This window comes from Homo sapiens, chromosome 6, assembly GCF_000001405.40.
Source record: "Homo sapiens chromosome 6, GRCh38.p14 Primary Assembly".
Classification (NCBI taxonomy): Eukaryota; Metazoa; Chordata; class Mammalia; order Primates; family Hominidae; genus Homo; species Homo sapiens.
Genome location: NC_000006.12, coordinates 144,786,045 through 144,799,795, shown reverse-complemented (window position 1 = coordinate 144,799,795; position 13,751 = coordinate 144,786,045). Strand labels below are relative to the sequence as shown.

Sequence of the window (13,751 nt, the reverse complement as noted above, 5' to 3'; positions counted from 1 at the left end):
CCTTGGGCAAGTTGACTAATCTTGGAGTCTTAGTTCCTTTATGTGTAAAGTAGAGGTAATACTCCCAATCTTACAGAGTTATTAAGAAAAGTGACTAAAATAACAAATATAACACCTCTTAGCACATTGTCTGGCATAAAGTAAACAATAAATAGCAGTGATTATTAGCTTTGATGACTACATCTCTCATTTGAATTATCTTCCCAGTAGTAGACTGACCTTGCCACATTCCAGCTATTCCCTCTCCCATACATCTATGTCTACCAGATACTCCAAATGTAGCCATTCCAAGAACCCTGCTGCATTTAAACTGTGACTTTACCATTCTTCTTCTTCCAACATTTGTGCTTTGACTTCCACTGGAAGTCATCTATTACCCTAGCTGTCTGCCAGGCTAATGCTCACTCTACTTCACACTACCTACCTGTCTTTTCCTCCTCTTAGAATGCATAGCAGCAAGGCCCTCTGACCTCACAATACTTTAGTCTTCCCAACTACACCATAATGCATGAGAGAAGAGAACTTTTGAATTTTCATTTCTTATGTTAGCCATCCACAGAGAATGCAATGATATGCTTCGTACAAACTATTATGCTGATAAAGTCAGTCAAATGAAAACAATTCTGTTTAATTCAAGATACTAATACTGATACAATATACAACAACAACCAATCCCAGCCCTCCTGATTTGACTCTCCCTCAGAGAATCACCGTATTGGTACTTGATCTTCTGGTACGAATAAAAGATACACATAGGGCCAGGTATGGCGGCTCACGCCTGTAATCCCAGCACTTTGGGAGGCCAAGGAGGACAGATCACATGGTCGGGAGTTTGAGACCAGCCTGGCCAACATAGTGGAACCCAGTCTCTACTAAAAATACAAAAATTAGCTGGGTGTGGTGGCATGCACCTGTAGTCCCAGCTACTCGGGAGGCCGAGGCAGGGGAATCGCGTGAACTTGGGAGGCAGAGGTTGAAGTGAACCAAGATCGTGCCACTGCACACCAGCTTGGGTGACAGAGTGGGACTTGGTCTCAAAAAATAAATAAAAAAAGACACACACAAAATCTTGAATTTCCCTACTGAGTAGGCTTATGTTGTTTCATAATAGATTTCCAAATTAAACTGGGGCTATTTTCCAGATTCCCCCCAGTAGAGAAATATAATATATTCAAGAGGTCAAATGCATACCTATGTTAAGAGGAGTGGATCAGGATGTCCAAAAATGTCCACCTTAGGACAAACCACAGACTCTGCACTGTCGGCTTTGGGGTCACAAACTGAAGAGTCTGACACACTGATTACATTAAAGTATGGCATTTAGCAGTGCTCCTCATGGGAAGAAGTCGGGTTAATGTACTTCACATCAAACTTGGCAGAAATAACACAAAGTAATTTGATTACTTCTCAGCTGGTAATTAAACATTGCTTCCTGCTTACTAAGTTTGACCCCAAGACCTCAGAATATTTACCAAATTCCATCAGGGTTATATATTTATAATCAGCCATACAGTTTTCATGGATGAATCATTTCTGTGACCTAAGTAAACAGACATTCATAAAAATCTCTGGTTCTGATCCAAGTAGTGTAAATGACAATAATAATAGCAACAATAATAAAATATGCTTCATGTAGTAGTTATAAAAAGAAATGCTACTTTTAGATAGATGAGACATACTGAACATACCATTTATTTAGAAAGCAAACCTCCAAATGGGAATGAATGGGAATGGAGGATGGACGTACCACTGAGATTACACAAAGGAAACAGAAAATAGCCTCCTCCAGCACTGGCACGCCTTACCTGAACCCGACAATTGGACATTCTTTACAGATGTTGCATTTGGCCTGATGTTTTGCAGTCTCCGCTGCTGCCACTCGATGTAAAACTGGGAGCCAAACCATGGACTGTGGTTCCAAATGCATCCAATCTATAAACTCTTTCACACTTATTTCTGGTTTATTGTTATTCTGGTGAAAAAAGAAATATATTAAAAGTGAAGAAATGCCTTCATTTAAACTGTAGCTAGTGTTGTTGCTTCATAATCTTCTGAAAATTTGTGCAGAAGAGGAAACTATATAACTCTTTCCATGTCAGTTAAGTCACAATGCTTTAAGGTTCTTCAAGTCAAGAAAATTCTAGAACTTATGAGTAGAAAAAGCAGAAATTGTCACATAGGAAGAAGCAAAAAAATACCAAGACTTCAATATACTCAGATTTTGAAAGAAACAAAAGCAAAAACCCAAACCACTCAATTTAAAGTCATCTTTTTACATAAATAATTCTGTAAAACTCATTTGGCCGGGTGTGGTGGCTCAAGCCTGTAATCCTAGCACTTTGGGAGGCCGAGGCAAGCGGATTGCCTGAGCTCAGGAGTTTGAGACCAGCCTAGGCAACACGGTGAAACCCCGTCTCTACTAAAACACACACACACAAAATTAGCTGGGCCTTGTGGCGTGCACCTGTAGTCCCAGCTACTCGGGAGGCTGAGGCAGGAGAATCGCTTGAACCTGGGAGGCGGAGGTTGCAGTGAGCCGAGATCACGCCACTGCACTCCAGCCTGGGCAACAGAGCAAGAATATATCTCAAAAAAAAAAAAAAAAATTTCATCTAAGACAGTAAAAACTTGTGAAAGACTCACCGATAATTTTACAAACTTGAAGGCCATTATAAATGCTAAATAAAAGCTGTCATTTTTGTGTGTCCTGCTCTAGTCCCATTATATCATCACACAGAAAGCATATTGCTATGGATGTACTTTGCAGAATTTATCAGGATAAATTACATAAAACTCCCCAATCCCTCTTCAATTCCCAATACTAAGTAATTTTCCTATGTGCAAAGCTAAATATCTACCAATTTTATCCTCCTGTTGCTGTTGAGGTCATTCTGTGAACCTACATGTATGACTATAAATCATATTTAGAATTTGCATTTGATATTTTTTGTATTTCTAAAATAAGAAAAAGGGCCATTATAAAATGTAATAACCCATGACATCAATTCTCCTCAAAGACACGGTGTGAGCCTTTTTTTTCCCTAGCAATGATAAATCACTGGATATGCTTTGCCAAAATATCTGTAGACTTGTACTTTATGCATATGTATAACATCAGTAGTAACATTTCTAAAATGTCTTTATATGCAGTAAACATTAAAAAGAAATGAAAGTGCTTTCTCAGTTTCAAATTAGTAACTTAGATCAGTATAAAACTTCGTACATCTTTCTTTTGTATGCATAGTCTCAAAGAAAAAAAACTGATACTTTAATAACATCTTTAATGTATATATATTTTAAAAATCTTGTCTTAAAAAGAACTCAGGACATTTTAATTCAGTTCTTTAGCAGATATTTATTAAAGTAGTTATGATGTTCAAGGCACAGGAAATGTAATAATCTGAATATTTTTGTCCCCCAAAACTCATATGTTAAAAACCTAACCACTTAGGAGATGGTACGAGGAGGTAGAGCCTTTAGGAAATGATTAGGTCATGAGGGTGGAGCCCTCTTGAATGAGGTTAGTGCCCTTATAAAAGAGGCCCAAGATCTCAGAAATAATGCCACACATCTACAACCATCTGATCTTTGACAAACCTGACAAAAACACGCAATGGGTAAAGAATTCCCTATTTAATAAATGGTGTTGGGAAAACTGGCTAGCCATATGCAGAAAACTGAAACTTAACCCCTTCCTTACACCTCACACAAAAATTAACTCAAGATGGATTAAAGACTTAAATGTAAGACCTAAAACCATAAAAATCCTAGATGAAAACCTAGGCAATACCATTCAGGACATAGTCATGGGCAAAGACTTCATGACTAAAACACCAAAAGCAATGGCAACAAAAGGCAAAATTGACAAATGGGATCTAATTAAACTAAAGAGCTTCTGCACAGCAAACAAACAAACAAAAAACAAACAAAAACAAAACAACAACAAAAAACACCTATCATCAGAGTGAACAGGCAACCTACAAAATGGGAGAAAATTTTTGCAATCTATCCATCTGACAAAGGGCTAATATCCAGAATCTACAGAGAACTTAAACAAATTTACAAGAAAAAAATAAACAACCCCATCAAAAAGTGGGCAAAGGATATGAACAGACACTTCACAAAAGAAGACATTTATGCAGCCAACAAACATAGAAAAAAAGCTCATCATCACTGGTCATTAGAGAAATGCAAATCAAAACCACAATGAGATACCATCTCACACCAGTTAGAATGGTGATCATTAAAAAGTCAGGAAACACCAGATGCTGGAGAGGATGTGGAGAAATAGGAATGCTTTTACACTGTTGGTGGGAGTGTAAATTAGTTCAGCCATTGTGGAAGACAGCGTGGCAATTCCTCAAGGATATAGAACCAGAAATACCATTTGACCCAGAAATCCCATTACTAGGTATATACCCAAAGGATTATAAATCATTCTACTATAAAGACACATGCGCACGTATGTTTACTGAGGCACTATTCACAATAGCAAAGAGTTGGAACCAACCCAAATGCCCATCAATGATACACTGGATAAACAAAATGTGGCACAAATACACCATGGAATACTATGTAGCCATAAAAAAGGATGAGTCCATGTCCCTTGCAGGGAAATGGATGAAGCTGGAAACCATCATTCTCAGCAAACTAACACAAGAATAGAAAACCAAACACCACATGTTCTCACTCATAAGTGAGAGTTGAACAATGAGAACACATGGACACAGGGAGGGGAACATCACACACTGGGGCCTGTCAGTGGGTGGGGGACTAGGGGAGGGATAGCATTAGGGGAAACACCTAATGTAGATGATGGGTTGATGGGTGCAGCAAACCACCATGGCACATGTATACCTATGTAACAAACCTGCACGTTCTGCACATGTACCCCAGAACTTAAAGTACAAAACAAACAAACAAAAAAAGAGGCCCAAGAGAGATCATTCACTTCTTCTGTCATATGAGGAAACAGCAAGAAAGGTTGCAATGAACCAGAAGGTGGGCCCTCAGCAGATACTGAATCTGCTAGCACCTTGATCATGGACAGCCTCCAGAACTGTAGAAAATAAATTTCTGTTGTTTAAAAGCCATCCAGTTTATGGTATTTTGTTACAGCAGCCTGAATGAACTAAGACAGGATACAACAGTAAAATGATAGCCGTAGTCCTTGTCTTCATGGAGCTTAGGTTCCTAGAGAAGAAACAAACACTAAGCCATGAATTATATAATTCAGTGTGTAATTATAATTGCACTGAGTATGAGAAGGAAGAGGTGGACGATATTAGGTGAATATAATAGGAAAATACAGCATTATCTGAAGAGGTCAGAGAAAGATTTTCAGAGGATGTAATAGCTAAAGCTAAAATCTAAAGATCAAATAAAGATTAGGTATGAGAAGGGAGGTAGTGGGCAATGGGGAAGGAAGAACGTCTAAACAGCAGACACAGGTCCAAAGGCACTGCTGAGGCAGGAATCAAGGAAATAAAACAGTGCAGCTGGAAAGCGGAGAGCAAGGAGAGGAATGGTAGGAGATGAGGCCAGGAAAAGGGCAGGACAAACAGCAATCTAATGGCACAGGTTAAAGATTGTAGATTTTATCAAAGAAAAACAGCAAGTCTCTTTGCAAGGGTTGCTATTTTTTGAAGCAAATGAGCCTTAGGAAATAAAATACACCACTTGTTGGATGGTACCCAAAGTCTTCCAGTATTTGGCTCCAGCCCGAGTTCCCTATTCCATGTCTCAGAACATCCTCAAAACCCTTCGCCAACACATCCTACACACCAGTGATCCTTCATGCTTACCTGTTGGAAGCAGCTGCGAACACTAGGCTCAATATTACTGCCTCCAAAAGCTGCTACTTCACCTAGCTGCCGGGGGATCTGGATGGCATCATGAAGTAACAGGCCCAGCTGCCTCTGGTCACACATTTCTGTTGGCCCTGCAACTTCCTTAAAGAGATCTGCAAAGAGAGGCAAGAGGTTAACTTTCATCTGTCTACCATGTTCTTTTACTTAAAATATATCTTTGGTAATGTGGACTGAACCATGCAGATTAAAAAAATTTCAGAAGGACATGAATCTGATTCGTTGTCTCCTGAATTCCAATGACCTTAATATTCTGATCTTAATATTCTGCATTACATATGATATTAGATTATTTTAAGAAGCATGTAGTTAACCCGTTCCTGCAAGAATGGGTTATGTATACATATAAACATAAATCATGCATATATAATATAAATCAATAAATGCAAATTTCCTTTTTAAAATGATACAATAAATGCATATGAATTAATTTTATGATCTTCATAAGAACTCCCCTTCTTATTGAGAAAGAATGAGCCAAAACAAAGCTTCCTTCATGACTTGTCAAAGGAATAGATGTAGTTGGGTGCTGTGGTGCATGCCTGTAATCTCATCTACTGGAGAGACTAAGGCAGGAGGATCACTTGAGCCAGGAGTTTGAGACCAGTTTGGGCAACATAGCAAGACCCCAACTCAAAAAAAAATAAAAAAACACAAAGGAATAAACGTACCTTAAATAACAAACCTTTAAATTTTAACAGATTTGTTTACAAACTTTGTGTGTTCACTCCTAAATTCAATATTCTACTAAATGTATATATATTATAACTTATTTTAAAGACTTTTATACTCACATCTATTTTATATAAGAAACACTAAAAAGTACAAGAAGGTGTGTTTTTTCTCCTTTGGGCCAGTCTCCCATTCCTTATTAGCTATAACCACTATTTTTGTTTTACTTCATGTAATGAAATACATTTAATCAAATTTAAAAATTTGTGCATATTTTCATACAGTTTTTAGGTTTTTCCATTCATTAAAAAACTGATTTGTTTTATAATTTTCTTAATTCAGTAAAATTAAAACTCTTCTATTTTGTCCACTCTTGGTTTACCTTTTATTCACCATATACAATACTTTGAAGATCAAAATTATATATTATTTTCAACAATAAAGCTAATATCCTAAGATAAGTTACTTTTGGAAGAGGAAGAAATTTCAAATACAAACAATCTACTTCATTATAGAAATTAATACTTTTTGGAAATAAATTTTCAAGTTCTAAAAATTCAAAAGTACTTAAAATCTAAATGCTCTTCATGTGACATTTTCCAAGAATAGAAGAAAGTGGAGTAAATATTTATTGGATTCTAAAACTATTTTCAAACAGTACCTGATATCAGATCAAAATGCATCATTTTCTCTCTCTCTTTTTTTTTTTGAGATGGAGTGTTGCTCTTGTTGCCCAGGCTGGAGTGCAATGGCACGATCTTGGCTCGCTGCAACCTCCACCTACCGGGTTCAAGCAATTCTCCTGCCTCAGCCTCCTGAGTAGCTGGGATTACAGGCATGCACCACCACACCCAGCTAATTTTGTATTTTTAGTAGAGACAGGGTTTCTCCATGTTGGTCAGGCTAGTCTCGAACTCCCGATCACAGTTGATCTGCCCTACATCGGCCTCCCAAAGTGCTGGGGATTACAGGTGTGAGCCACCGTGCCTGGTCCATTCTCTCTTTTTATAAGGAATATAATGCTAGATCTAACACTGTCAGTGGTGAAATTTCAAACTGAACCAAGCTCAGTGATATTGACACAGTAATTATAATGAAGTATGGCTTTAATTATAAGCATACATAGGGAAAGCAAATTCAATGAAGATAAATTTGATTTTTATTATAATTTTTTCACTTAGATTTGGTTAGAGCTCTACTTATTTCTTTCCATTAAAAACAATAAGACTATCATAGACAAAAATATTTATCCAGTAGTCTTAGCATGATGTTTATTTTAAACCAGTCCCTGGGAAGAGGTCTGTTAAGTAAATAAAAGTTGATGCATATGTATAATAATCTTTGCAGAAAAGTGCACATTTTCAGCAAGATCAACTATGCCCAACTTTCCTCTTTTGAGGCATATGGCTATACCACTATGCCACTATTAAAGTAAAACTACTCACAAAACATAAGGACAAAAGTGTCCTTAGACATTTTGACATATTTCTATAAATCCTTATAAAAGTTCCTACAAAAGTTCACATTCTCAACATTATAGTAAGATACAAAAAGCAGTGTCAGGGTAAAGGGGCAGGTAATAAGAAAGTCATAATCTAAAAACTCAAATTCTAATAAATAAGCACAGAAGAGATACTAATGATAATTTAAAAGGATGGTTTGAAAATGTGTACTTTTTTTTTTTTTTTAAGGTCTCGCTTTGTCATCCAGGCTGGAAGTGTGGTGGTCCGACCATGGCTCATTGCAGCCTCCGATTCCTGGGGCTCAAGTGATCCTCCCACCTTAGTCTCCCAAGTAGCTAGGACTACAGGCATGAACCACTGTGCCTGGTCTGTAAATGTGTTTTTGATGAGGCAAGGAAGCTAGCCAGCTATAAGCATAAAGGCCAGGGCACTGTTAGAAACTAAACAAGGAATATTCTTAGGAAAGGACCAAGAGAAGAAGGTGTTATGGGGTGAAGACACTGACATTGGGCATTGTATTAATAAAATCAATGTTCAGACAGATACCAATGATCTTGAATGGCGGCCCTGCCATTGCATTTGAAGAGCAAACTGTCTTGAATATTAATTCTAATAAAGGAAACAATAATGATATCACAGAAACTGGAATCAGAGTGGTGAAGGTCCTCAAAGTAAAAAGCAAAATAAAACCCCAGGACATTCCAAAGTCTAGATATCCCAGTAAAGATTTAGATTAAAGATTAAAACCCAAGAGATTTCATATTTAATTAGTTCTAAAATGGCATACTTCCTGGATTCAATTAAATATCAGAAATTTCACGGCAGAGCCTTCTGCTTCCCCTGCCAAAATCTGAAAGTTAATGTTGAATTATCCACAATGTAAGCTTTGAGGTTGAATTTGCAAATATTTCAGAGTAAGCTCCACACTATAACTGTTACTTTCAGAGAACCCTAATTGTTTCAGAAGCACAAGAAACCCCAAATCAGAGATGATAAAAAATCCATTTCTAATTTTGTAACATTGGTGTTTTCATTAACATTTTCCTTTCCTGATCATTATAAAAAGATAACGTTTTCAGCTGTTGAAATTATATCTTTTCATGATTATGATTCCAAAAACTACTTCAATTCTGGATAAAGTGCCACAAAGCAAAAGTCTTGGGCAAAGCTTTCTTCTGCATGGCTAACTAGGCTCTCACTCCGTCATAGCACCTTATCTCCTAATCCTACAATCAGCTTTTCATTTTATATAAATCCACATTTCTTTTCACTGACATTCTTGTCAAACTATGTAGAAAAAACAAGCCATCATGGTCTAGACCTGAAATTCAAAATCCAATAACCTCACAGAAATCCCAGAAAATAAAAGCTTTTAAAATGTATGCATGTTGACATAAGACACAAAACTTAACTCAGTTTACAGGGCCTATAATCAAACATCCTATTGTTTTTTAGTATCTCTCCATTCATGGAATATCCCTAAACCTCTCCCACAAATGTATGGATTTATCTGTAAAGAATCATCTGGGAATATGCATGGTGGGATCAAATTCACATTTTATGGACAAAAATAAATCAAAAGATATGTGATAGTAGTTAAGGGTTTGGGGACTCAGCAGCAACTGCTACCATTTATTCAACAACTGCTATTTCTAGGTACCTTAAACATTACTCCTAATTATTCTCCAAGCAGGAATTATTAGCTTCATTTTTTCAGTTGAAGAAAATTTGCTAAATTTCAGCTTCTTGAACTGTAAAATTGGAATACTATTACCTCTTAGTTGGCAATATTCAATGAAATCACATAACCTGCCCAAAGACACTCAGCTACTAAGTGGTAGAGATTTGAAGACAGGTCTCCTTGGCTCCTGAACACAAGTCTTTTCCAAAGCCAATATACCTTTCATTAACTGACAGGTAAAGGAACACTGTTGATTTATTTGATAAATCCAAATATAATAAAAATTTAAAAATCATGTTTTATTTTGTCACAGCTGTAAAATATATTTATTTAGGATTATCGTCTATGACTGTAAAGGTTCTAGTTCATCTTTTTCTTTTAAGCATTGGAAGTATAAAGAAATAAAAAAAAGTTTAGGCTTTGGAGTCAGAAAAACCTAGTATCTAATTCTAGCCCCATCCCTTATCAGCTCTGCAGTCTTAGACTAGATTCTTAACCTATCTCAGCATTAATTTTCTCAGCTAGAAAATGAAAATCTCAAATGCCTACATTATGGAGGGATTATTCTAAGAATTAAATGAAGTATAATTTGTAGTTGGGTCTCACTCCATCCTGGCACCTCACCTCTTAGTTATAATCAGCTTTCCATTTCACACAAAGCCCCAAGTCTTTGCACTGCCACCCTCTGTCTAACTTGGTATAGGCACAGTAAGGGTTAAAAAAAGAGAGAGAACTATTACTACTAACAAATTATATAATTTAAGTTTCCAATAAATTGTTATAATCATTATTATTACTAAAAACACTGTTGGTATAAGAAAGGTCTTACATACATCTGTATTTTTCTTCCAAGAGACCTTTGGAGAGAGACATTAATCCAATCTTCAGACTCTGCACTCTAATTTTTCCAGTTCGACCCCTAAAATTATAAGAATGTTAATGTGTTAGATGCATTTAAAACCATATACAGCATGTTCATTGTTTCTGAATATCTATTTTCTTGGGGGTAAACCATCAAAAATAATTGTATCTTAAAGATGCAACTTTTCTATTAACTTTTAACAATTAATATTAAACCAATACTGTAATTTCATGACATATATTAACAGGGTGTTTGGCCAAGGCTAGAAGAACACACAGCTTGAAGCCACTTTGCACACAACACATAAACTAAGAAGAACGAACTAAAGCAAAATGAAAATGATGATTATAAAGCTGAAAAGATTTCACCTTTAAAAATATTATGAATTGGCTGGGCACAGTGGCTCATGCCTGTAATCCCAGCACTTTGGGAGGCCAAGGCAGGCGGATCACCTGAGGTCAGGAGTTCGAGACCAGCCTGACGAACATGGAGAAACCACATCTCTACTAAAAATACAAAATTAGCCAGGCGGGTGGCGCATGCCTATAATCCTAGCTACTCGGGAGGCTGAGGCAGGAGAATCACTTGAACTTGCGAGGCGGAGATTGCAGTGAGCCGAGATCGTGCCATTGCACTCCAGCCTGGGTGACAGAGCGAGACTCCATCTCAAAAAAAAAAAAAAAAATACTATGAATTAAACCTATACGTTAATAATTGTAGATGCAAGATTCAAAACAGCTAGAGCTACGCACACTATATATATATATGACTTCATACAGGAAGAAAAGTCTAGTGATATATCTAAAAACAAGAACACAGACTAGAAAATTAACTATATACTAAGAGCTTACAACTTGCTGAATACTAATTGGTAATTAAGTATTAATTAAGTATAAATATTGGTATTTAAGTATTCAGCAAATTATAAGCCCTCAGTATATAGTTAATTTTCTGTCAATGCAGTTTTTATAAATTACTATTGCAATTTTAATAGTCAGTGATCTTAGACAGATGTGAAATCCCTATTTGGGGAAATATCAAATTATAATTAAAACCAGAATGTATTAATTAATCAACATTAGAACATAGTTTTACACAATGCTAAGGATAGATCATTTCTATTTCACTTATAAGTCGACCAGATGAAACATGTTTTTTTATCTTTAAAACCAAAGAGTTTTCTTAATTTCATTGCTTATCAAAGAATTACTGAGTAATCTACCAAATGTTAGTCACAGTAGTCCCAGTCCTAGGGATTGGAAGATAATTACAAAAATTAATAAGATATTATCCTTGCTATGGAATAACACATAGCCCAGAAAAAAAGCCTTTATTGCTATCTTTATTATTACACATTTAGGATCCATTTTCATTTTAGGTTTTTATTGTCCATTTTCTTATATGTTTTTAATACACAAGTACAGCACACTTAAAACCTATAACTAAAAGTTTACATAAATATATGAATGTATAAAAGTTAACAATTTGTGCTATTTTAAAAACATAAATATTTGTATCACGTAACTTTAATTTTAAGCAGTCTTCTTGCCAAACTATATTTAATCATTGATTTTATTGATATTTTTACTACTTACACTAATTGATATTCTTCCATTCTCAACTATATGTACTGAAGGAAGTTTCTGTACGCATATTATGACATATAAAGTATGCAATAAATAAGAAAGGAAATCGTGCTTAGGGATTGGTGCAATGTATTTTCAAAGTACTCCCTCAATAGGATAGAGTTTATAATTTATATTAAATCATATCTAATAAACTTACTGAACCCTTAGTATGTAGGTATATGACATTCAGAATTAACCTATGAAGTGACTAATACTTAATATTAAAATAAACATAGCCCTTCTAAGCAGAATTTCTAAATTAATATAATCATTTCTCACAATTACAGAAACACCAGTTTCACATTAACCCTACAGACAGCCATGCTACAAACTGTGTTTCTACTTTATATTTTTTAGAAGTTTCCTAATTATCACATGAAACAGACAATGTTTGCTTCCTTTCAAAAGCAGGAAATTTTTACTCTCTGGACCCAGTCAGACAATAGACTTGCAGAGGATAACAGAAGGCTTTGTGAACGGGCTGAGACAAGTACATGAATGTGGCTAAGGATAAAGTGATCCCTACAGGGAAAAATGGTCAAAATAATATGCATTAAAGCATGACTCCCACTTTACTGTCACAACACAAGAAAGGAATATCATCAGGAAGACAACTGATGCTGTCAATCACCCATTCATCACACCATCACCAGTTACAAAGGCTTACTGTGATCCTGACATTGCTCTGTGTACTGTTGGGACCAAGAGAAAAGCAGAAGACATGATTCCTACCCCGATGAACTCACACACTAGCTGAGGAAGGTAAGATAGGAATACAACTAGAAAACATATGAGACAATCCTTTATGTATGGAAATCAAACATCAAGTACAAGATCATTGTGGCTGCCTATCATTAGTGATTTAGTCTAGGTAGTCATTAGTTTCACAACATGTGACAGAGAAGATAAACCCAAAATCAGACATAGAAGGTATGTCATGCCATGACAGTCCCAAGTAGGAGAACATAGAGTATCACAGAGAAAGCCTGAGCAAAGGCACAGAGGCAGGGGTGTGAGCATCGGAGATAAGACACATTCAGGCCCGGCGCGGTGGCTCACGCCTGTAATCTCAGCACTTTGGGAGGCTGAGGCAGGTGGATCACGAGGTCAGGAAATTGAGACCATCCTGGCCAACATGGTGAAACCCTGTCTCTACTAAACATACAAAAATTAGCTGGGCGTGGTGGCGCGTGCCTGTAATCCCAGCTACTCGGGAGACTGAGGCAGGAAAATCGCTTGAACCAGGGAGTCAGAGGTTGCAGTGAGCTGACATCATGCCACTGCACTCCAGCCTGGCGACAGAGTGAGACTCTGTCTCAAACAAAAACAAAAACAAACAAATAAGATGCATTCAGGTGGGTCAGAGACTTGCATCAAGGTTAACTGGTTGACTGAACTGTACAGGTTACGTGGGACCAGACAATAAAGGACACTGATGTAAATAAGCTACATGGATGTGAGAGACAAGAGGGAGACAGTAAAATATATTAGTGAGTGACATAGCCCAGTGTTGACATATTTAGTCTCCTGATAGTTTTCATAGGCAACTCTTTAAACTGGTTTAACTATAAAGACATT

General features: G+C 36.5%; 1 protein-coding gene across 2 annotated transcripts in view, besides 2 other annotated features; it reads right to left on the bottom strand.

The window, feature by feature from the left end:
* UTRN (utrophin) overlaps positions 1 to 13,751 on the bottom strand; it is a 567,700-nt gene that overhangs the window by 53,239 nt on the left and 500,710 nt on the right. For both annotated transcript variants that reach the window (NM_007124.3, NM_001375323.1), the window contains 3 exons: positions 10,517 to 10,602; positions 5,805 to 5,962; positions 1,806 to 1,972 (listed from right to left, as the gene is read on the bottom strand). In NM_007124.3, the coding sequence (NP_009055.2) occupies positions 1,806 to 1,972; positions 5,805 to 5,962; positions 10,517 to 10,602 (411 nt within the window). The remainder of the gene's footprint in view (positions 1 to 1,805; positions 1,973 to 5,804; positions 5,963 to 10,516; positions 10,603 to 13,751) is intronic.
* Positions 5,789 to 6,083: a silencer, noted in NCBI's record as "tiled region #9645; HepG2 Repressive non-DNase unmatched - State 15:Elon". NCBI's record gives its function as "represses a minimal TATA promoter and a strong SV40 promoter by Sharpr-MPRA in HepG2 cells {active_cell/tissue: HepG2}" and the evidence as "EXISTENCE:reporter gene assay evidence [ECO:0000049][PMID:27701403]".
* Positions 12,483 to 12,984: an enhancer, noted in NCBI's record as "NANOG hESC enhancer chr6:145107948-145108449 (GRCh37/hg19 assembly coordinates)". NCBI's record gives its function as "activates a minimal SCP1, AML or CMV promoter by ChIP-STARR-seq in naive H9 embryonic stem cells {active_cell/tissue: H9 hESC(naive)}" and the evidence as "EXISTENCE:reporter gene assay evidence [ECO:0000049][PMID:30033119]".